Source organism: Homo sapiens, chromosome 2 (assembly GCF_000001405.40).
Source record: "Homo sapiens chromosome 2, GRCh38.p14 Primary Assembly".
Classification (NCBI taxonomy): domain Eukaryota; kingdom Metazoa; phylum Chordata; class Mammalia; order Primates; family Hominidae; genus Homo; species Homo sapiens.
Genome location: NC_000002.12, coordinates 204,935,030 through 204,959,885, shown reverse-complemented (window position 1 = coordinate 204,959,885; position 24,856 = coordinate 204,935,030). Strand labels below are relative to the sequence as shown.

Here is a 24,856-nt window from a genome sequence, read left to right as displayed (position 1 = left end):
TAACGTGGTATGTGTGAATTATTTTCAATATGTAGATATTAATTGCCAGGGCTGACTGGTGTTCCCAATTTAAAGATTAGGCACTAGCTTCATTAACTGTATGCATTCACTCCTATGTTCCCAGGGGCGATCTGAAAGGAACATCTGAAACTAGGATTCTCCTAGAAAAAAAGTGATATCCATAAACCTTATTTTAGAAACTCATTCCATATTTTTCTCATTCCTTTACCTTGTAAAGATAAAAAGAAAAGGAAAGTCAACAAGAACAACAAACAAACACTTTTACACTGTTGGTGGGAGTGTAAATTAGTTCTACCATTGTGGAAGACAGTGTGGCAATTCCTCAAGGATCTAGAACCAGAAATACCATTTGACCCAGCAATGCCATTACTGGGTACATACCCAAAGGAATATAAATCATTCTACTATAAAGACACATGAAGATGCATGTTTATTGCAGCACTATTTACAATAGCAAAGACTTGGAATCAACCCAAATGCCCTTCAATGATAGACTGGATAAAGAAAATGTGGCACATATACACAATGGAATACTGTGCAGCCATAAAAAAGAATGAGTTCATGTCCTTTGCAGAGATGTAGATGAAGCTGGAAATCATCATCCTTACCAAACTAACACAGGAACAGAAAACCAAACACCGCATGTTCTCACTCATAAGTGGCAGCTGAATAATGGGAACACATGGACACAGTGAGGGGAACATCACACACCAGGGCCTGTCGGGGGAGTGGCGGGAAAGGGGAGGGAGAGCATCACGACAAACACCTAATGCATGCAGAGGTAAAAGCCTAGATGATGGGTTGATAGGTATAGCAAACCGCCATGGCACATGTATACCTAAGTAACAAACCTGCACGTTCTGCACATGTATCCCAGAACTTAAAGCAAAATTTAAAAACAATAAAAAAGAACTTTGGATAATTTACAACATCCATGACCCTGAATAACAGATCTGATAAAAAGAGCCATGTACTCTGCAATTTCACTCCATCAGTATCCCTTCCAGGACTCAGATCTGTTTTTATCCTAAAACACTAAGGTTATTATGATCAATATCACTAGTAAAAGTGTGTGTGAACATGTGAGTGTTTTTGGGGGTGAGAAGGAATAGGGTAGAATACTAACTTCCTTGATAATATCCCTAACATGCCCAAATGCTGAGCATAGAGGCTGGCACACAATGAAAGGTTAAATTTAATTTCTTTTCCTACCATAGCTATCCTTCTCTGGCTTCCAGACTGAGTCCCACTTGACTTGTTTATCCGTATTTTGCTTTCACTTTGTTGTTTCTCTTTAATCTCTTCATCACAGGACTGACAGAGGAACACAAAAAGTACCAAGATCAAACACAACCAATAGGTAATTTCTGTTTTTCCTTTATTCTTGTTCTTCATCATACAAGAACACACAACCCTTAGACAATACAGTACTCTATCACTCTTCTGCCTAGCAGTACATGGTTTGTGCTGTCTGGTCTTTGCCAACCATAACTTGAAGCAATATACCAATGCCTTCAACTTCTATGCCGACAAGTAAATATTTTAACAATAAATGCCATGAAGTACATTTATTGCAGAGTCTCTCAATATTCATGGTGTGGTTTATTCTGTTGCCAACCTGTAGCATTCTGTCATTTTTATAGCCTGAATTTTTATAATCTGATGCTATTATCTTTAGCCTATGTAGAAAATAAAAAAGAATCATCCAAATGCTACAGAGTAAAATCAACTGTATTTATAATGGCATTTTTATTAGTGATTACACTGAGAAATATGTGGCTCTATTTTAATTACATGTCAAGTGAACTAATGTACTACTTACTAAGAAAGGCTTATTTGCCACATTGAGTTCTTTGGGTTAAACTGTTGAACTAAACAATGTATTGATATTTTTTACTGTTTCCTACATATTCTGTGTTACCAACTATCAAGTTAAATTAAAAGACAAAAAAAAACCCAGTATCCTATAAAATAAAATTGGAATCGTTTGTCTCAAATCTTAATAAACACAATTAAATCTAAGTAAGACTGTGAAATTACAACAATTTCACAAGTAGAGAAAATCACATTATCACCTTTGGGAAGGGAGTGAAACTGCAGAATTTCATTTAAATGTATGTGTGCATCTGCTTGTAACTAAATAACAATTGGCTATGTGAGCTAATTTTTATGCTACTTTAAACAAAGGTTTCAAAGTACGTTCTCTTCCTTCCCAGGATTTTGACAGCTAGCTAAAAGCATTTAATCCGGATTTTAAAAATTAGCAGGCTCACATTAGCATCTTCATCAGAGGCAAGCATCAGCTCCAGCATCCTCAAAGCAGGGACATAACAGCTCTGATTCTCATAAAGTTCAACTGACAGTCAGTAAATGAGATAAACCTATTTTCATTTCCTCCCCAAACTGAAAATTCAGAACAGGAACCTTTAAAAACTTTACAGCTTTAAGCATTATTCTGAAGAAAATAACATGACTTATTCAACTGTACTGAAAACCCTATTTATCCTTATCACTTTTTAAAGATGCATCTGCTTGAATTATCCCATAATAACAAAAATATGCCCTATTAAATAACCACCCATATTTCAGCCAAATATACATTTATTTCTTTGAAATTATGTAGTATGTTCCTAAAGAAGCCAGATACACATTAAACCCATCTTATATTGAATCACATTTTTTTCTCTGACTTGAATTAAAATTTCAAAGATGATATGTTATCCCTTGACAAGTTGGAGAGAATTTTGAATTTGTGTCTGCTGTATTATTTACTTTTAGGGACAATCACTCATGATTCATTAAACAACATTCACGACTCACATCTAATACACAAAGGGGAGGCCTGAGGAGCCCTTGTCTCTGTGCCCTTCACCATCTCTAGCAGTGGTAGGGCAAAGGGTGCCATGGAGGTCAAGTGGCATCCATGAAGCCCTTCTCCTAGAGATATCTAGGGATTAACTATGGAAAAAGCAAGCCAGAACAAAAGCAGGGAGAAGTTTCAAGCATCACAGAATAACACAAATTTTCAGAAAGTTTAAAAACTCTATATACCTGCCTTGTCAATAACATTCTTGCTTCCCATGAATTGCGCATAATTTAAAAAACCAGACACATGCAAAGGTGGAAATAAAAAACTTGAGTTAAACTGTCTGGAAGATTCTCAAAGATGATCCCAATCTACTAGGTGGCCTCACTTGCCATTTGCCCAATGTATCACTAGCTACATAGACTAATTTTTTCCAATCTCAAGGGCTTTGACTATCTTGGGAGGAAATGGAGACACAAAACAAGCTGGGATATTTAAAATGTGTGGACACACATACACACACACACACACACACACACACAAGTAGTTTTTCTTCAAGTTAATCTTAACTAAATTACACACATCTTACCTGCTTTTTTTAAAGAATATTCTATTTGAAGCAAGTATATCCAACACTAGAAGACATAAAATAGTATATGGAAAATATTTCTAAAGTATAAAGCACTACATACATTTACAATATTGTAACATCCATATTCAATATTATTTAACTAGCTCCATTTCATTTTCCCTCCTTCCCTACAACTTCTTCTCTCTAGCCAAAGCAAAGATAGAATCGTCTCAGAAACATACTCCTTGGCAATCTCTCAGCCAAAGCATAATGCTGCCACCACCATCCATAGGTATATCAATAAATCCTTGAAGGCAATAACTTATTGGAACCTAAGGTTGGTTTATTTCTGCAAAGATCATTCTCCAACAATTAAATAAGCCCAAAGAGCATGGCAAGGGCCTGGGTTTGCTTCTGACTTCCAATCTGGCCTCCTGACATTTAACCATAACACTATTGCCAAAGTGGTCTTTCCAGCAAACAGATCTGGGTGTGGTCTTGGCCCAGCTTCAAGTTCTTCATCATACATTGTCAAACTTTTGAAATAAAGTTTAAGTCTGCCATAATTATCTGCACCAGGCCCTCCAGTGTCCCACAGTGCTATATCCATGACTGTATCATCACTTGTCACATAGCACGAGGGTCCTTGGTATACTTGTCCCTACCTATATGTCAACAGTAAGCTACTTAAAACTATGGGTCACATCAATAAAAATATTTATCAAATACTTATATAGCCCTTACTATGTGCTAGGCACTGTATTAAGTGCTGAAATGTATTATTTTATTTCATACTCATAAGAAATCCTATGATAAATCCACTGTTATTCCCATTTTACAGATGAAAAAAACTGAAGTACAACTGACTTTATATTCCAAGCTGCAAGTATGTTTCTTGGCACATGGGAAAAAATTCCTTAGGTAAATGAATGATCTACATTTTCTGCTATATCCAAGCAAGAGAACAAAGCCTCTGCCATATGGGTATCTTCACTTTGGTGTGGACACCATCTCCCTACTCCTGACTTTTCCATCCTGTTAGGGATAAAGGTCACCTTCATGCCACATACGTTCCTATGCACAGCAAAATAGCTTCCATCCATCCTTGAGGTTCAATGCAAAATTGCATTTAACAATTTACACATCTAAAATCTACTTAGTATATTATGATTCCAACCTTGTCTCCTGGTGGACTACATATATGTATTTGATTTTCTTCCAGAGGAATTATTTTGAAATTGTAAAACTAATTTGTGCATTAACAGACCTAGTTTTGAAACAAACACAACTGTACAGTATTCTCTACGATGGCTGACTGTTAGAAGAACGCTGCTTATTTGTACTAATGACTGCAATCCAGCATGTATTGCTTAATTTTGTGGATTAATGAGTAAGCAATCAAATGTGATTTTAAGTCATGAATATAACAAACATACTATTCATTTATTTTGACAAGTATTCTAATTTATGAGACTTGGCTACAAATAGAGCAGCCTATTTTGTAAAATAAAAAAAAGGAACCTTTCTGCTTTTAAGACAACCCAACAGCTCTCAGATAATAAACCTCTGCAGAGAATGGTGACAAAGCCACCACCTTCTAAAGACAAATAAAGAACTGATAGGTTGATAGAAAAAACAGTATCTTACTATATCATTAAAAATTTCAAAGTGATGGATTTTGCATATACTTGAGCTGTATGAATATCTTTAGGGTTTGCAAACCACACTGAATGTTCTGACTAAAATAGGTCAGTGCTGGCCGGAGCAGGTGCAATGGGCATACCTGTCTCCTGGCCTGTCACCCTGGTAGCCTATAACACAAGTTTTGACAGCTTCATATGTCCTGGGGGTGGCCTCATATTCCAGGCCAGAGATCCCCCAAGGCCAGGTAAGGTAGCGAGTGGACTGCAAATATGGAGAAGGTCACAATCCCCTGAAAATTAGCTGGTGATTAATTGGTACTACATTTCACCAGACTGGTTAGGGAACTGACTCTTTAGCATGAACACGTTTAGCAAATTGGCCTGAGCTCCCGCTGATTGACCTCATGACAGGTCCAATGATGTTCTACCTTCTCCAGCATTTCATGACAGCTGAGCAACTGGTGGAGGCTACAGAAAGGTCAGCATATAGCCTGATTGGAGGATGAGGAAGCACTTCTCTTAAATATTCCATTTAGACTCAGACCTCCCTTGTCATGGATGACAAGGCTTCAAAGCCCATATTTAAAAAAATTAACACTGCAACTACAGGTGGGTTTAGCTGCTGAACTCCTTCTGTCTGAGTGGAAGTGCTAACCTTTTCCTTTAGCTTCTAATTGCTCTATATCTCCTTAACTAGTGATAATATGGCTAACCCTGCTGGGATGGGTGCTGACTTTGGGAGCATCTAAATGTCAAGATTTGTAATTATGATTGTGGGTGTATTAAACCAACATAGAATGATGCCTCGCTAACTGGGGCCCGAAGACAAGAAGGCTGGGGTCCTCGCTCCCTCCTCACTGTCATAAGTGGTGTGGCACCTCTTTTCTGGGAACAGTTGACTTTCTGGGTCTTGTCTCTAATCATAGACAGTCTTTGCGAGTTAGTTTTAGATTTATAAATTTAGCACAAAAGGCCTTCCAAAAGCACCTAAAATATAAGCACATAAAACTATGACTTGTTTCTAAATCAAAAAGTGAAATACGTTGAGCATAATTATTACGGCAAATAACGGAACACAAGTTTTGAAATTAGGACTGGACCCAAAAATCTAGGTTGCTGTGACCATTGGCAATACTGGGTTTCCAAAGCCAGTCCTCAATCTAATACTCCCAGACCTAATGGCCACTTTTGTACTTTACCACTTTTGGTGTTTATAGTTTCCAAGTTCAAAAAGAAAAGTGTAGGGGCAAGATATGATGATATAACTCCCCCAGATCCCTCCAGCAAATTGTGTCTGTAGTGTGTTTGTGTGTTACAGAGAGAAAAAAGTGAACAAAACTTCAAAAGAATTAAACTCTGGTGCTTTCCCTCCAGCCTTCTCTCTCTCTCTCTCTCTCTCTCTCTCTCTCTCTCTCTCTCTCTCTGTGTGTGTGTATGTTAACATATATATGTCAATTCACAATGCATAACACACAATTTTGTTTCTGATATTTTCAATTACTATTTTTCTTATGAGCAACTTTCCCTAATTGTAATCCATAAAGACAAATAAAGAAAATTCATATGGTTGAATAACATTTCACATTATATTCAGCCATCTTGTAAATGTTGTAGCATTCTCCCATTCCAGACATACGAAAGTGTAGGTTGTCTCTGCATAGTCCCAATGCTAAGTGTTATTTCTAATAATTACTAATTTTGCCTATAAAATTATATGCTGTTTAAACTTCAATTATTACTAGTGACATTGACTCTGTCTCTCTCTCTCCCTCTCTCTCTATATATATACGTATATATACATATATACATATATACACACATATATATATATACCTTTTTTTTTTTTTTGAGACTGAGTCTCGCACTGTCGCCCAGGCTGGAGTGCAGTAGCAAGATCTCAGCTCACTGCAAGCTCCACCTCCTGGGTTCACGCCATTCTCCTGCATCAGCCTCTTGAGTAGCTGGGACTACAAGCGCCCACCACCACACCCGGCTAATTTTTTGTATTTTTAGTAGAGGTGGGTTTCACCATGTTAGCCAGGATGGTCTCCATCTCCTGACCTCATGATCCGCCTGCCTCGGCCTCCTGAAGTGCTGGGATTACAGGCGTGAGCCACCGCGCCTGACCGTGATATTGACAATATTTTTATGAGCTATTTTTACTTCTTCAGTAAAGTGTCTGTTCATACTCTTTGCCCTTCTTTTTCACTTTGTTTTTAGTGTTTCTTATTAACATGTATAAGTACTTTTTATTTTAAGTATACTGAAGTTGTCTTTTATTTTTGCAAATTTATTTTTTGCCAGTTTACCTTTCAATTTTGTTTATGATGTAAAATTTTTCATTACATGGTATTCCATTCACTTAAAACCCCTATTAAATCTTCAAAGGTCTCTTGTAAATAGGCACTCACCTGGAACCAGTAATATTTTATGATGGGCAAGTAGTAAAACAATGTTGGTTTCATTTAATTTACTACTTTGATAGTCCCTTAAGAGAGAGCAGGTGGGAAGTGTTTTGATTGATGGGCCTTTGGTTTTTAAATCACACATTCATATTCTAAACAAATACAGATGGATAAAAGCTATTACAATAAAAATATGCACAAATAAAATTTTAATATTTCGATGACTGCATAATCCAAGTGTCTATCATTATTTTCTGAAAATTCTTTATGTTGAAATTTCATATAATATGTCCATTACTAGCACGGGGTAAATCTACTCACAAAACTCATTTTAAAAACTTTCATGTGCTTAAAGACTCTAAGCTTCCATTAGTTACTTTTTTTATTCCCCAGAAAAAATAACATTTTATGTATTTTAGCTTTTCTTCCACAATCCCCCACTATCCAGTCATCAATCATCTTTGTTGCATTCCTGTAAACTATCTCCTTGTTCTTCAAATTACCAAGGATTAAAAACTCTAGAAAGGATCTGACCAGTGACAGTGACAGGTTAAAAATAAAAATGTGTCTGTGAGCATGCGTCTTTGACTCTCACCAAAGTCCTCTTTTCATCATTTCTTGAACAGCATATTTGCCAGGATTCAGCTGGTTTATCACCCTGATGACTGCTTGCTTTCTAACCACATTTCTCTATCCTACCAAAATGGTTTTGGTTCTGTTCTATCATCCAGTTGGCTCTGACAATCCCACTCTCATGTAAATTTCAAACTTAATACTTATTTTATTTACATGTAGGTAACATATGAAACACTTCTCAAAGAATCAGGAAACATGGGTTCTCTCAGAGAGTTCATCTATTAAAAAAGTAATGTTCTAATTATAAATACACAAAGTGAACTTAAAAATATGCACCCAGAACAATATTTAAATGACCAGATAAACAGGCTACAGAAGTGGTGTTTCAATGAGATAACAGATGGTAATACAGTTAGGAGAATGGTGTCAGAGGTGTATTTGCTGGCAGGACGATTTTAGGTACTGTTCAGTTGAAGGGATCCACTGGATTAAGGAACAAACCTGAAGTCCCAGTAACAGAGATCTACATACTATGAAATAGTTGACAGACATATGAAAAATCATGGCGTAATATCATCAAATTCATGAATCTAGGACTGAGTACATAACTTCTGGGGCCCAGTGTATAATGAAAATGTCTAGACCTTGTTCTAAAAATGTTAAGGACTTCAAGATGATGACAGTAGAGGATTAAACCAAGCATGGGCCTCTTATAAGCATGGAACCCTTAGGTCATGTGCATAGCAAGTTGGCCCTGCTTGAATTATATGACTCTCCATGCTTATTCTGGTTTCACATTTCCTAAGCAATCTCTGGTTTGACTTCTTCCCTCAATTGCCCAGCAAGGAGAAGATAGGCTGGCTAGAGGATATAAAATCTCTAGTCCCCTTAGTAGGTTTTATACACCTTATAGTCCCAGTGGAACCTTGCTAGTTGAAATCAGAATGCTTGAATCAAAAAATTCCAGAGCAGTGAGAAGACAGAGTTGTATGCTTGGATTCCAGATTGTGGTTTAAAAAACAAACAAAGAAAAACAGGGTTTCAGTATTTAGCGCCTATGAGATATCTTCTGCAATCTCCCAAATCTTTGAGGAGTCTCCCATTTGAATGTCTAGTTCATATTTCTTGACTGAAAATATAGTACTACCTTAGAAGACAGTTTAAGTCAAAGGTAAATGCAGAGATGTCTTGTTTCATTTAAATACGAAAGAACTGAAAAACAAGTTATTTTCCATTGATTTCCAGGATAACATCTCAGTTTCTTTCCAAGGTCTCCCAAGGCCCCCACAAATGGCCTGGAACTGAATGCAGCCTCCTTTCCCTGCATGCACTCAGCTGTGTTTTCAGCACTGGCCTCCTCCCACCCCGCACGCCCTCGCATCTACTGGTACTCTTTCTTAGAATCCTTCAAGGTTGAGAACCTAGACTCTGCAGTCACACTGACTCAGTCCAAATCTGGGCTCACACCACTTTTTAAATGTAGGGAAGTTATTTAGCTTCTCTGAGCTTCAATTTCATCTATACAATAAAGAAAAGTATAGCAGCTAACATTTACTGAATGTTTACCATATTCAAAGCACATAGTATCAGACTGTATTATCTCATTTATTTCTCCTACCAGTGCCAGGAGGAAGTTCCTATCAATATATTCAAAATGGGGAGGGGGGCAGGTTAGGTTTACATGACCAGTAAGTGATAAAGCCAGGACTAGAAGCCATCAGTAAAACATCAGCATCTTCACATTATTCTGTGCCTACCTCTCAAGTTGTTGTATAACATGAGATATGACTTTGCATAGGGCTTGGACATGAAGGAATTGCTCATTTAATGCTAGCTATTATTGTAATCATCACTATCATTATTGATCAAAAGTCTTATTCATCCTTTAAGACCCAACTTAATTTGTATCTTGGACAGTATCTTGTATCTAGAGAGTGCTTAATAAGTGGGCATCTAATGAATAAATTTATCATACTATGTTCTAATTAGAAATAATCAAAGTCAACTTTAAGAGACCAAGCAACTCCCAGCCCAGGCCAATAGGTGACTGAACATTTGACTAATAAGATAGACTTAATTTATAAAATTTAAATAAACTAACATCTCAAAAATTTTCCAGCAGAATGTGTATAAATTTTCAACAAATTTATAAAATGTAGTTTTAAATTAAAAAATGCTATTAGTAGGCATACCACTAATGTCAGATGATAACTATCACATGAAAAATTAAAAGGAAAACAAAGGCTGAGTACTGTGGCTTATGCTTGTAATCCCAGCACTTCAGGAGGCTGAGGTGGGAGGGCGGCTTGAGCCCAGGAGTTTGAGACTAGCCTGGGCAACATGGTAAGACCCCATCTCTACAGGAAATTTAAAAAAAAATTAGCCAGGTGTGGTGGTATGCTCCTGTGGTCCCAGCTACTTGGGAGGCTGAGGCAGGAGGATCACTTGAGCCTAGGAGGTCAAGGCTGCAGTAAGCTGTGTTTGTGCCACTGGACTCTAGCCTGGATGACAGAGAGAGACCCTGTCTCAAAAAAAAGAAGAAAGAAAGAAAGAGAAAAAGAAAGGAAGACAAAGACAAAGATACTGGTTTAACTGAAAGAGGAGAAAAAAAGATACCAATTAGAACATAATATCCATCCTACATTTTGTACCTAGAGTTTCTACCCATGCGATATTGATATTGGGGTTAAGAGAAATAAGTCCCATTTCCATAGAAACACAGAATAGTCTGCTATGGAAATATATCTCCAAATGTAATCTGTTTTCAATAGTTTTATCTCATAAAAACATCTCTGAGTATGAGGAAGTAAAGATGCCTGCCATTCTGTGGTATCCTTTCATGCAAGTTTCATGACTGGAAATTCTACACAGCATTTTCTCAGAAAGTACTCTAGAAAACCAGTACAGTTCATCAACTTTAGTTCATAAAGTCTCTAGTCCTATAATTTATTTTGTTTGTATAGGAAAAAAAAGACTTGGGAAGGGTCCTGTGAGACATGGAAAAATACCATTATCTGTCAAGGATAAACATGTTTTCTTCCCCAAACCCTGGAAGTCGGTGAAAATGGTTTCATATAGTGAATCACCAAAAGAAAAAGCCCTATTTTTATTGGACTAAGACAAATAATTTCTCTGAATCAAGAGGGAAAATAGAAAGTGAGTGCGGACAACCAATGGTGAACACCTGATATTGCACTTAGAAAACCCTGTAAGATAAATACTGGGGAACTGGAGAAGAGTCTGCTGGAACAATAGGTTCCTTTTTTTGTTTTAATGCTCATGTTCGGTCTCTGTGTGCTGGGGAAAAATGTTTTAAATGTGGTCAGAACTGGGAGCTTTTTGGCAAAGGTGAACCCATTTATCTAGTCAAATCTAAACGGAAGTCTCAAGTAAGTGCTCCATGTAACATGCAAATTATTCTCAACTGATGTAGCTAAACTTGACAAATGTAGGTCCAAAATCACACAGCTTCAATGTCTTGCTTCTAGCTTATGGGGAGAAAACATTATTTATTTGTAGCTGCCAAATACTATATTCTCACTAATTTAATAAGCAGCCACCATTTTCTCTGCCTCTGAAAATTTATGTTGGTCTTTGGACAGGTCTGGCTGCCTTTTTAAATCTAGTGGTCTGTGACCATGGAAGGCTTTAGCCAAAGGGAAAATGACTCCATAAATCCTCAGAGGCTGTCTCACATTAATTTATAGTTTGAAGGCTCCAGGACCCTATGAAAAGCCTTTAAACAAGAAAAATCAACACATACCAACACATATGTATTGGAAGTCATCCTACCTTACAACAGGAAGTATTCCTAAGTCTTTAGAAAGCAAAGTATGTGCAAACATAGCAAGATACAGACTTGGCAACACCTGTAGAGACCTGATACTTAATTATGAAAAAATCTGGTCACATTACATCATGAAGCACATGAGTATACAAAGTAGTTTTTGGTGCAAAATTATGATTATGATATTTCTGCTCTTGAATTTTGCAAACAATAGACCTATTCATCATGTCATTACTGGGAAGCAAATTAAGTTGCTTTAGAAGATGACATGTCACTTTCCTTTAGAACTCACGGTAGATCTCTTTAAATCAACAAAGGTGTTATTTCATAACCTCTCAAACTTATCTTGCAGGTAAAATGCATGGAAAGAATCTTCAGACTGTAGATAAGCCATCTATTTAAATAAAACAACTAAGGCCTGGAAAAAGTCAGTGAATTTCTAGAGACATGTGGCTAGTTAATAAGTAAACAAGGAAAATACTTTAGCCAAAGGCTAAGAGAGGGAGGGGAGGGAGGGGAGGGAGGGGAGGGGAGGGAAGGGAAGGGATACCTTGAAAATAGTTCTAGAGTTGTCCTATGTACTGTAGTTCCCACTATTCTGGCTTGGCATACACCCAACATACTTTACTTATTTACTAACTTTCTTAGCTCCTAAAATTATTTAATATGAGACTCCTGGACTCCTGCCCTATGTTTAACTAGAATATGTAGAGTTCTTTTCACTCTACACTTACTCCATGAATAAAATGTCATTGACAAAATGAGACTAGACTCTGAAATTCTCAAAAAGACTGTAAATTCATTATCATTTGTAAAATAAATGATACTCTCTATAGACATAATTCCCTTCTTAAGTCAACTGTTTGGCATCACTAGCAAAATACATATGCAGAGCACTCCCTCTGTCATGGTTAATGTTACGCGTTAATTTGACTGAGCCACAGGGTGCCCAGATATTCAGTTAAACCTTATTTCTGGGTGTACTAGGAGGGTGTTTCTGGATGAGATTAACATTTGAGTCAGTAGGCTGAGTAAAGCAGACTGCCCTTCCCAAAGTGGGTGGGCCTCATCCAACCCACTGAAGGCCTGACTAGAAATAAAAAGACTGAGTAAGAAAGAATCTGTCTCTGCTGCCTGACTGCATGAGCTGAACATTTTGGTGTTGTTTGTTTTTTTCTTTCCAGCCTTCGGATAGGGACTGGAACATGAGCTCCTCTTGGGTCTTCAGGTTGCTGGCTTCTGCACTGGACTTTACAATGTCAGATCTCCTGGTACTCAGGCTATCTGACCAGGACTGGAATCATATGTCAGCTCTTCGAGGTCTCTAATTTCCTGGCTACAGATCTTAGGTCTTCTCCATTTCCCTAATCATGTGAGCCAATTCCTTATTATTTATCTATGTACACATGCACAAGCCTAGTGGTTCAGTTTCTCTGGAGAACCCTGACAGTACATCCTCTTTACGCAGAGGTCAAGCAACTGGCAACATCCAAGCATTAGAACAAAGTCCAAGACCTAGAAGCAAAATAAATCTCCTCGGTGTTCCCTACAATTACATAGAGGTTGTAAGATGGTCAATGATGGAATCTGCAGGCTAGAGTTGATTTAACAGAAAAAATGGAAAGAAAGGGAAGACTTCATATATTTAAAACAGAAAAAGCAGAGCTAAAAGGAAACAGAGCAAAATTAAAAGCAGATATAGAACTATGTATCCCAGCCTTGACTGTGCCTCAATAAATGAGGAAGGATTAAAATGTGTTTAGTAATGCTGGATGAGAAACTAGATGAAGTACTTCAATTCCTACAGCCAAGAGACACGTCTTCAGTACTTGTAACAGGCCAAGCACTGTGTTAAGAACTGAGCATACAACTCCTCATTTCAAGAACCTATCAATTCAGGAACAGGAAGGGCAGATGAATATGCAAGTCAATATAAATATTGTAACATGTGATGAAATAGTCGAAGGAGCAAAATACCAGGCCAGAAAAGCAAGAGGAAAGATGCATTCTATATTTGCAGGGAAGCTGTTAAGCAAGGTATAGAGGGGAAGATGACATTTAAGCTGGTCCTAATTAGTGTGATTTCACTGGACAATGGGATTGAGAAGTCCTTCAAGGCAGAAGAAACAACACACACAAACGCATGGGAGCACGAAATTGCAAATTCACTATTTGCAAAAAGCCAACCAACTAGCAGGATGTGTTTTGAGTGTAGGTCTCTGGAGGTTAACAGGAAAAGAAATACAGGAATTAAGGCTAAACTGAAAGGTTAGAGACAGAAAGCAAAGGACCTTGAATGTCTTGCCCAGGGATATTTTTCCCAATATTTGTACTGGGTTTTATGACCTATAATTTGTGCTTGTGTTTGTTAGACCTTCCATCCTAATAACCCTATGAAGAAGGCCACTGAAGCCATCCCCAATAAAATTTTATAAAATCAGTTAAGGGAAGAAAACATTCAACTAGGCTTGCAGCGCAATCAGAAGCATTCACTAAGCCCACTTGCCCTTTGGCTCACTTCCTTGTAGCTAGTTGCTGCTTATCACTCCAGAATAACATAGCCCTTTTCACAAGACTGTGTTCCTTTTCTGTTCTATAGATAAGATCTAAGACACTGTGAGATGAGAAGCTTTCCCTTTGAGGAGCTTCTCCTTCAGGTTCTGCATAGCAATAAAACTACCCGAGCTAGCTGGTCTGAAGGGCCCAGCAAGGATCTGACTTATACAAGTATGCAGTTTCTATATCCTGGTGATTTCATCTCCCGGACCTGAACCAATCAATGACCCCAATTTTCTAGTCCATCACCCTCCATGATCCCCTTAGGAACCCAGAGCCCCTCAGGAAAACAAAGTTAAGGTTTGAAGATTCTTCCTGTCTCCTTGCTCGATGGCCTTGCCATTATCAAGCTCCTTCTCTGCTGCAAACTCTGCTGACTCAGTGTATTGGTCTGTTGCTGCACAGTGAGCATATGAACCCGATGGTACTGTAACACTACCTTAAATCTTTTTCTGATGTAAACAGACACACTATGCAAAAATGGTATGTAATGTACAGATCTCCCTCATTGTCCCCATCCCAGGATATTCCCAACAAAAGATTAAAATACAGTTTGGGCACTTGGAATTTGAGTTATCTGACAAATGCACTTTGTGCAATTTTTTCTCTCACTCCCCCAAATTTGTGGGCAATGGAAGTGTTACTCTAACGTAGGCCCTGTGAGGTAAGCTGGAGAGAAAAAGAAAGGGAGAAGGCCATGGTGGAGGAAGAAAGAGTGAGGGCAAGTGGGTAGTCTTAATCAGGTGAGGTCAGGTACAATTAGAACAAAATCACTCCGTCGGCAACCAAAATAGCAAACCTTTTCAAAATAAAGCTTTTCTAAAATTTAGAAAACTCACTATTTTTAAGTTAAAAGTAACTGATTATAAAATATCAACATTGGATTAAATAGCTGCATTAAAATATAAAATTATAAAATAGTTGATTAGCTGATGGGCTGATTAGCCAGGCGCCTTGCCTTGACCACATGCCTGAAGAACACCAGGCTGAATGGGATCCCTTTCCTCAGACAGGACTTTCACAAAGAAATGGAGATGGCCACAGAAGCTTTCATGCCTGTGGAAAGCCAGCCAGGGGAAGCTACCAGCTTGCAGCTTGATGGATTGCTATTTACCAAAGGGCACATCTCCTTGCCCTTTCAGGTATCCTAGCGGGAGCTGGGGGACAGAAGCCATTGACAGGAGGCCCCAGAGAGTCATCTCCTACCCTCTACAGCTCAGCTCTCTCTCTCTGCCTTATAGGTCTCCAAGGAGCCTCCAGCTGTGGAAGCTGCCTCATTTCAGAGGACCACTTTAAAAATGTGTCCTGCTTTCTCCTTTTCCCCATGCACATTTCTTTACAAGACTAATGTATTAAAGGTTAGTTGGTTTCACTGCTGTTTCTTGTTTAAGTGGTACTTCATTTTGAATTTGTGCCACCAGTTTCTTTCATTCTTTCTGGAGTGTTCAGATTATCTTCTCTTGTCTCACTATTTCTCTTCTTCTTCCTTTTTAAATCTTGGTTTGTAAATCATTTGAGTTGTTCTTAACTTAGTTTCCCTGAGGTGATGTAATTTTGAATGTTTAGTCCCCTTTTCTACTTTTACTAACTTATTGCTAGCATTTATTTTAAATTTCCCTTTAGTATTTTACTCTTTGGGCTTTAACTTTGTTTCCCCTCTGAAATCTCAGTTTTCTAGTGTTATATATAACTTTGTTGCCTCAGTCTCCCTAATTTGCACATGGCAGATAGGAAAGGCAATGTAGGGATGGCAATGGAGAGGCGAACTTTCCCTCAAGGAAGAGAGGATGGATTTGTCCTCTGCTTGCCAAAACCAGCCTTTCTTATGCTCCTTAACTGGTCCTCCAAGCACCTCTATTAATATGGAATCCAATACAATAAAACAAAATAAATTCCAAACTGGGTAACTTAAGAAATCTTCCCTAGTAATCACAGTTTGGTTTCTCATGGCACAAGCCATTTACCTCCATTACGAGCAATTTGCAGGATCCTCAAACCTGGCACACATATAACCACTGGGCAAGGGGCAGTAAACCAGATGTTCTGCTTGGGAAAGGGCACTGTATCAACTCCCTAGGTTAACCTGGGGACCAGTAAGAACTCCATGAGAAGCAGAGGAAAGGGCTCATTGCTGGGATCTTGGCTTCTCTTTTCCAGCAGCCAGTCTACCTCTAACCTCTTTCTCATCATAGGTCATAGGAAGATCCTCGTGACCTATGCGATCTTTCCAGTCACCGTCCTTTTAGGAGAGAAAATAATTAGGTTTGAGAAAAGCAGAGAGAAACTGTTTGGATCTATGAAAATTAACATATTATATATATATACACACACATATATATATATGCATACACATACACACACACACATACACACATTAAGAATGTGAAAAACTTCTTTCTTAAGTCAGGGGTAATTTTAAAAAGAGGTGTATTTACACAAAGTCTTTCTTGTCTTTTTACACAAAGTCTTTCTTGTCTTTTCTTTTTTAATTTTTATTTTTCAGGGGGACATGTGCAGCCTGGTTCTGGAGGTAAATTTGTGTCATAGGGGTCTGTTGTACAGATTAGTTCATCATCCAGGTGCTAAGCCTAGTACACAGTAGATGTTTTTTCTGTTCCTCTCCCTCCTCAAGTAAGCCCCAGTTTCTGTTGTTCCTTTTTTCACAAAAAGTATTTCTTAATTTTTTTCTTTAACAGAAAGAGATATAAACTTGATTGCAAAAAAAGTCAAAATCACTGTATGAAAATAAGTTTAGGGATTTCCTATTTCAAATATTTATACCAGTCTTGAATTGCATTACTACACAACATAGAAAATTTGCTACACAAAAGATTGCTCCTATTATCAGTTCACTGGTGACCAAAGTGTTTGTATAACTACTTGTCTTTTTTTTTTTTAAATACCTGTATGACCTTTAAAAAAAGAAAGTTAAAGCTTTGTTACGATGTCCAAATTTGTGGAAAGAGGTTTTCCTCTCACTCTACTTCTCTCTTGGGATAAAACTTCAATAAAATTCAGAATTCAGAAATGTTTCAAACATTCTCAAAAATGCTTGTGGTCCCTCAGAGTCCTATCAATAAATCAGTTCACAGAATCTGGTAAGGTTTATTTATCTGACTGGAACTAAGGAATTTATACTAAATCACTACATTTTTGAAATATTGGTTCTCAGATGAAATATCAAAACAGAAAGAGAAAGAAAAAAATATTTTGACTTGACATCTTAATGAAGCGTTACTATAAAAACAGGGAAAGTAAAAGTTACATTTCCAGAGCTAGTCAGTTTTAACTTTAACCAACAAGAAAAAAGGCCTTTAGTCTTAGTTATTCATTTTAGCAATTGGTTTGTAACAAGCATCATAGAACTGCTTTGATTACTATATCCTAAAGAAGGCTGATTTACATGTTGAAAAACCCAACTTAGTTCAATTTTACAAAGTAGTAATTACTGATTAGCTACTCAGATTTTTGCACATATTGAACATTACCTGAAAGGAACATTAAAAAATCTAAACAAGTGAATATTTCTGGAATCAAAATGATATAAAACCAGCTTAAAGATATGAATTTAGGAATGACTAAGTTCAAGTTCTGTTCTCCCTTTTAGACCAAATATTCTAGTGGTTATATTTGACATTTAGAACATGCACAAAGATATAATTTAAATATATATATATACACACACACTCAGAATGTTGCAATAATGAGAACTCTAAAAAAAACCAATGAAATTCAGTTTTCAAGGAAACACAAATTATTTCTTCAACACTCTGCACTGTCTTTGCTCATCATGTACAGCATCTAAAAATGCCATTGAAGTAAGAATATATCTGTCTGGAAAATTTCCTTCAAATGGAAGCAAAGGTTAAAAGACCCACATTGGAAACCCTACAGCACAAAGAACTCCAACATTACCTTGAGGAATTTATAATGAGTTTAACTTTCCCATTTAGAAAACCTGATTTTCATGGGAAAGGTGCAGCAGTAATAAATCTAATCCTGCTAGGAAGTCTAAGAGGAGAAAACAAAACAAAATTCCAGTATTTGTGAATTAACTTTTTTATGCCACTCATAGCCAGGTTGTTAATTATGTTATCAGGGCATTAATTGCCATCCTTAAGGTGTTAGAACTTTCCTTTTTCTTCTTTAGACAGAGTCTCGCTCTGTCGCCCAGGCTGGAGTGCAGTGGTGGGATCTTGGCTCACTGCAACCTCCGCCTTCCGGGCTCCAGCGATTCTCCTCCCTCAGCCTCCTGAATAGCCGGGACTATGGGCACGTGCCACCACGCCCTGCTAATTTTTGTATTTTTAGTAGAGACGGAGTTTGGCCATGTTGGACAGACTGGTAAGAAGAGTGATTTAATCTATGGTTAGCAATAGAAACAAAGTTTTTAAAAAATATTTTGCATTCACACATATGAAATTTATATATATAACAAACACCAAGGTTTATCAATTACTAGGATGTTAGTTTTTTAACTCTCCCACGTTAATTGAATAGAACATACAACACTGAATATCTGCTACTCCATCAACTATCTTTGAGATGATGAATTTCTTTGTAGTACATCTTTTATAACTCTTACTTTTTTCTTGTACTGTATTTTTTTAATCTTTATTCCTAATAAATAACAAGCTCCTTAGGCTAAGGACACTATCTTATTGACAGTGGTACTCCTGCAACATTGAGTACCATGGCTTGAAAATAGAGCAGGGGTACTCCTAGAATACATGATGATGGTGTCATTGGAATGTCAACTAGCAGTTCTTAGCAACTCAGACCTAAGCTCTAATTTTCAAGCTGCACTCAAAACCACTGCGACAACAGAGCTAGCCTTCAAATTGTCCCACCTCTTTATATTTACAGCTAGTGAACTGTTCCCAGAACTCCCAAGCAGTACCTGCTAATAATAGTACTAATTTCCCTGCATATCTTAGAATTGCCTTTCTACAATTTTTTTTGTAATGATATTCATGTACATGAACAGTGAAATCAACCCCAGACACAGAACTTCTAGATAAACAACTGAGAAAAAAAAAAAAAACTCTCAAGTTACTTCATTAACATAATGAAACAACCTGTCCTTCTGCACAGTCACTTACCTGTCAATGCTGGAGGCTGGAGACTCCAGTTCGCTCCCAGAGAATTGTCACTACTTTCTGATTTATCCCTTTAACTCTCAGATCACCACCTCTTCCTAGGATGTTATCACATTTTTCAGGGAAGAAACAAGGGACTGTATTTTAGATGAACATGAAATAACATGTCGGAAGAGGAGCCAGAGTTCTTTGTCCAACAACTGGCATGGTGACTAACCTGGAAAAGGCACTAAACACTTTGAACTCTTCTCCAAGAGCATTAATCTTCCTACGTTAACTTCTAAAGACACTATGGTATGAATTAAAAATATCCACAGAGCCTAGTAAGCTCTCCAGAGTCCGGTAAGCTCTCTTATGAATATTTTTCCAAAAGGATCATTGTGAAAGCAATGCTTATCTTTCTTCTCTCAGAAACAAAGTACAATATTTCAACTTACCAATTTGTTTCTACAGTAAAATAGCAGGTATGCTCTTATCAGGAGATATCAGTAAACCTCAGGTATAATGGTAATTTAAGTACATTTGGGGCCAATGGCTTGAGAAAAGCATTCTGATTGAGAAATAATGGTGTGATAATAAATAGGAAACATTTTTGACTATTATACATTTGGGATAGGTGGTAGGGTTTCCCTAAAGAAATATTTTATCAGTTATTTGCAAAAAGCTACAAGGCCCTGTTTATAAAACTCACTTAAATTATAGATATGGATAATACTGTGTTTATAATACCCCTCTTTGTTGAATTTGATATACTTTGCCTCAGATTTCAGCAGCTTTTGGAATAAGCAAAAAAGAAATCGTGTTAAAAAATATTGATTCCTGAAATGTACATACCACAAAAAGTTAATTTTCTAAATACCAAAATAGAACACGGCATTTGTTTTTACAGCATAATGTCTTCATTTCTCTGTTATTCCTTGATTTATTGAAGCACAGACATGAATAAAAAGCCTTCTGTAACACATTGTCCTAAATTCTACCACTTGCCTTCTAGTGATCTACTCTATAGCACAACAATTCCTCTAAAGGACAATGTCACCTCCCCTTGGAAATATATAACCCATTTTTTATTATATTTGGGTTAATAGACAAAAAATTCTGGCACTTAATATCTTTTATGTGAGGTATTAAAAACAGTCTTTAAAAAATTGTTTATGGTGAGGTGGGGGTGATAACTAATTTGGTTGGAGCGTTAATACGTTATGGATCTTGCATATTTTAAGTTTTTATCAAAATGAGGGTAATATATTGCTACAGTAGTTAACTTGAAGAAAAGAGTAAGAAATAGAAAAAAAAATGCACTTGTGATTTCACAAGTAACTGACATGTTTTCAGGAGTACCATGTCAGATAATACTCATTTTCCTAATGAGTATAAAAAGATATCATTAATGTTTCGTACATTTGATGCCATCCAGCCATATAAATATGGAATAGTCCTGGAGCTGTGATGTTTTGTATTTTTCTGGGTATCACAAATCATTGAGATAGTCAAGGGCATCCATATTTACTCTCTGTGAGTTCACTTATTCATCCAGATATATGTACTGAGCTCTTTGGTCTCCAAGGCACTACACTGGGCTACGGGTATACACTGGTCAGCAGACATCATCTCTGCCTTTCTGTGGCTTATGATCTAGCCCAGTGGTCCTCAACCCTAGCTGCACAACAGAATCATCTGAAGAATGTTTAAAAACACTGATGATGAGGCTCCAACCTGTGCTTCAATTTGTCTAGGGTGATATTGAGGAATGGTATGTTTTAAAATTTCCCTAAATGATTTTAATGCACTTCCATGGTTGAGAAGCCCTAGTCTAGTGAATAAGAAAAGTATGAGATAAATGTACAAATATAGAATTTTTTAAGTGTTGAAAGGAAAGGTGTAAGAAGTTATAAGAGTGATCAATGAGACCGAAGAATTGGGAAAATTAGTCAAGAAGGGCCTCTCTGAATTGGTGATATTTAAGCTGAGAGCTAAAAGATGACTGGGAGTCAGAAAAGTGGAAGAACCCTACGGGTGGAATTCCACGCAGAGGGAACAGCATGTGCTGAGGCTTTAGGGCTTACAAAGGCTTTGGCTTGTTGAAAGAACATTTAGAAAGCCATTGTGGCTGTAATACAGTGCGTAAGCTATGCAGGGGCCAGAACTCAGTGGCCCACAGGAGGGTAGAGGAAGGACTGTGGATTTTAGTTTAGTTGAAGTGGAAAGCCACTTGATACATTACTGTTTTGTCACAATGACTTTTTTCCCCCTTTAATATTTCCAATGAGAAATTGTATTAAAAATCTGGACATCCAGCCAGACAAAAATGGACAAGACTCCAAGAAGTAGTAGGCATGGTTTTCATCTCCCTCTGGCAGATGGCAGTGATAACAGCAGTTATAAAACCTGAGGGCACACCTAGGACTCAGCCACTGGCGTGTCACTGCTCTCTATTCCAAGAAGTTCTCTGCTCTTTACGATTTTGACTATAACCCTGAGTTTTCCAATCAAACTGCCTTTCAGTAGGACAGATTTCCCCGAAGACAATCCTGTTAAAACTAAAACTGTTCATAGTTTCTAATTATGAAGGAGAATTAGCATTTATTACATATTTACTTGGGTACCCAGGATTTAAAATTTATAAAATTGCCTAGAGTATCATGCAAACGAAGAAGCAAAGATAAAAGAAGGGCATACACTGTTACAGCTGCTAACATCAAGAGAGGAGCCATATGCATAATGAGCGAAGAAGAAACAATTTGTTGATCCCACAGCAGTTCTGTAGTGGCGCTGACACATACTAATCAGTAATACATAGTCAGGAAGTGAGAATGATGTTATATTTCAAGAATCAAGAAATATGCACACATAATTTTTTGATAATAACATCTTGGGCAATGCCACTGAAGAGCTTATAGAGCATATGAAGCTACTCGATCCTGGAGTACCGCAACACACAACATAATGTCACACACCAGCAACCATGATCAAGAGTTAAATGGTTGTTAAACTAACAAACAAGAGAAGGGAAACGCACATTTGCAGTCTTTCTGCAAAAGAAATCCAAGGAACTACAGTCAAGTACCAGTCAAGGATCCCCAGACCAAGCTGAATGGGTGTCAGAGGGGCAACAGTGCTGAAAACGTCCTGTTCATAAAATTAAAAAGAGTTGGGAAGAAGATGCATGTGCAAGTCATCCAAAGGGAGGAAAAAAAGTAAACTGCAAAAGTTAAAGTACCTTCAATGAGGACTTAGGCAAGCAAGTCTCAGTCTTTCTCTCTACCCTGGTCCTGGCATCATCCGAGGTCAATGGTTCCAGTAGACAATTAAGAATAATTGGGACCCCCCAAAGAGCTCTTGTTCATGTGACCTTGTACAAGTTACTCAAGCACTGTGTGTCTATTCACTTCTTTGTCTATCAAATGGGGATAATATTACTCAATACCTTTAACTGTTTTCACATTTCAGTATTATATTATCACAATGCCTATTACAAGTATATAATACACATTTTAAAATTATTTTTACTGGTACATAGTCCATCTTTCTTATATATCAAATTCTATGTGTGTTTTTACACCAGTTGCTGCATCGGTTTCATGCCCATATGGCAGTTTTAAAGATTCACTATTTTAATTTATGTACCTTTCTGATAAGACCTCATCTTGTCAGTTAATCATGGTTAACATTAGACAGATTTGTATTCACTAAACTCATATTAAAACAAGAATATGAGGATATGACAGTGGTTAAGAGATTGACTGTGAACTCAGAGAATCCTCAGTTCAAATCCTGGTTCTACATGATCTCTTGTACAATTTGGAACATTTCTAAAACCTCTACAGCTATGCTCCATCATCTGTAAAAGTAGGACAATAATATTATTTTTCAATGGGATTATTATGAGGATTAAAATAAGCAGTACTTGCCATCCTATGAGTTGTTGGTAACTGTAATTTTTAAAAAGCAAGAGGGAAAAAAATGCTGTAGGGAGACAGTCCAAAGTGCATGAGAAGGGAGAAAGATGATAAGCCGGCATGTTAATAGATTGATCAACAATATTTTACCTTTGTCAATTTATTTATAAGTAATGTACTGTTTTCAAACCATGGATGAAAAAAAACTGAAGAATCCTTCTTACTCAAATGCTATTGCTACCAGTAGGCAGAGAAGTCACCAAAGTTTCCGCTGATGACTCCCCGACCACACAGCACGTGGCCCATGCCGTGCACTGGGTGAGAAAGCTGGAGCAGTGGCATGAAGCACAGGGTTCTCTTCCTGGCTGCGGAGTAAAACTGTGTTCTGGGATTTCAGGCTGAACAGCCCAAAAGTGCTCTCCTACAGCACACTGGGAAACAGACCACTGAAACTGACTATCTATAACCATCTTCAAAGAAAATTTTGAACAAAATCTTACATTCTGTACATGTTTATAGACACTTAGGGCCTTCCCAGAACCTAGTACACAATGTATACTCAATTAATATTAAATAATTGGAAATTTGTTTTTAGGTGGGCTTTCTGGGAACTAAAAAGAAAAAGCCTCACAATAGCCTACCATCAGCTCTGATTTTCCATCTATAATCCTGTAATTATCAGAACTAACAGGAATGCTCTTATTTAAAATACTGATATTTCAAAACAGAGAAGGGACAAGTTCCATTCAAAATAAGTCTTCACATTATTATGAGCCTAATGGTTTCAATGATAAGCCCTGTGACTGGGGAAGTAGCTTATTTTTAACAAATATGTATCAGTTACACATGATATACTTGACAAAATACTTTTTAAAAGAACAGAAGGATAAAATTTGGTGTGTGTGTGTGTATACACACATAATACATACTATATATGTACTATATAAATATATATATATTTTACATTCTTTTTTATTTGTTTTTGAGACGGAGTCTTGCTCTGTCACTCAGGCTGGAGTACAGTGGCGCCATCTTGGCTCACTGCAAGCTCCACCTCCCGGGTTCACACCATTCTCCTGCCTCAGCCTCCCGAGTAGCTGGGACTACAGGCGCCCGTCACCATGCCAGGCTAATTTTTTTTTTTTTTTTGTATTTTTAGTAGAGACAGGGTTTCACCGTGTTAGCCAGGATGGTCTTGATCTCCTGACCTTGTGATCCGCCCGCCTTGGCCTCCCAAAGTGCTGGGATTACAGGCGTGAGCCACTGCGCACAGCCTATTTTTTGCATTCTTAACACATTCTCAGAAGACTCTAACATGAGAAACTTAAGTGTTCTTATGTGAACAGGATAGAGAAATGTAAAAAAAAAAAAAAAAAGTAGGGAAAACAAGAATGAAAAATAGTAAATATGGACAAAAAGTAAAAAAGTCAAACTGTGGGATAACAGTGACTAACAGAAGTCTGGGTATCAGGTTATAATCAAGCGTCATATAA

The 24,856-nt window shown here is 37.4% G+C and overlaps 1 protein-coding gene across 16 annotated transcripts in view; it reads right to left on the bottom strand.

The window, feature by feature from the left end:
• Positions 1 to 24,856, bottom strand: part of PARD3B (par-3 family cell polarity regulator beta) — a 1,074,688-nt gene that overhangs the window by 660,277 nt on the left and 389,555 nt on the right. Inside the window, exon 2 of one of the 16 annotated variants that reach the window (XM_017003284.2) lies at positions 1,234 to 1,335. The exons of 14 other annotated variants lie outside the window; for them this stretch is intronic. In XM_017003284.2, the coding sequence (XP_016858773.1) occupies positions 1,234 to 1,335 (102 nt within the window). Of the gene's footprint in view, positions 1 to 1,233; positions 1,949 to 24,856 lie in introns of those variants that run through there. One more of the 16 variants, XM_017003283.2, reaches the window with a different exon arrangement.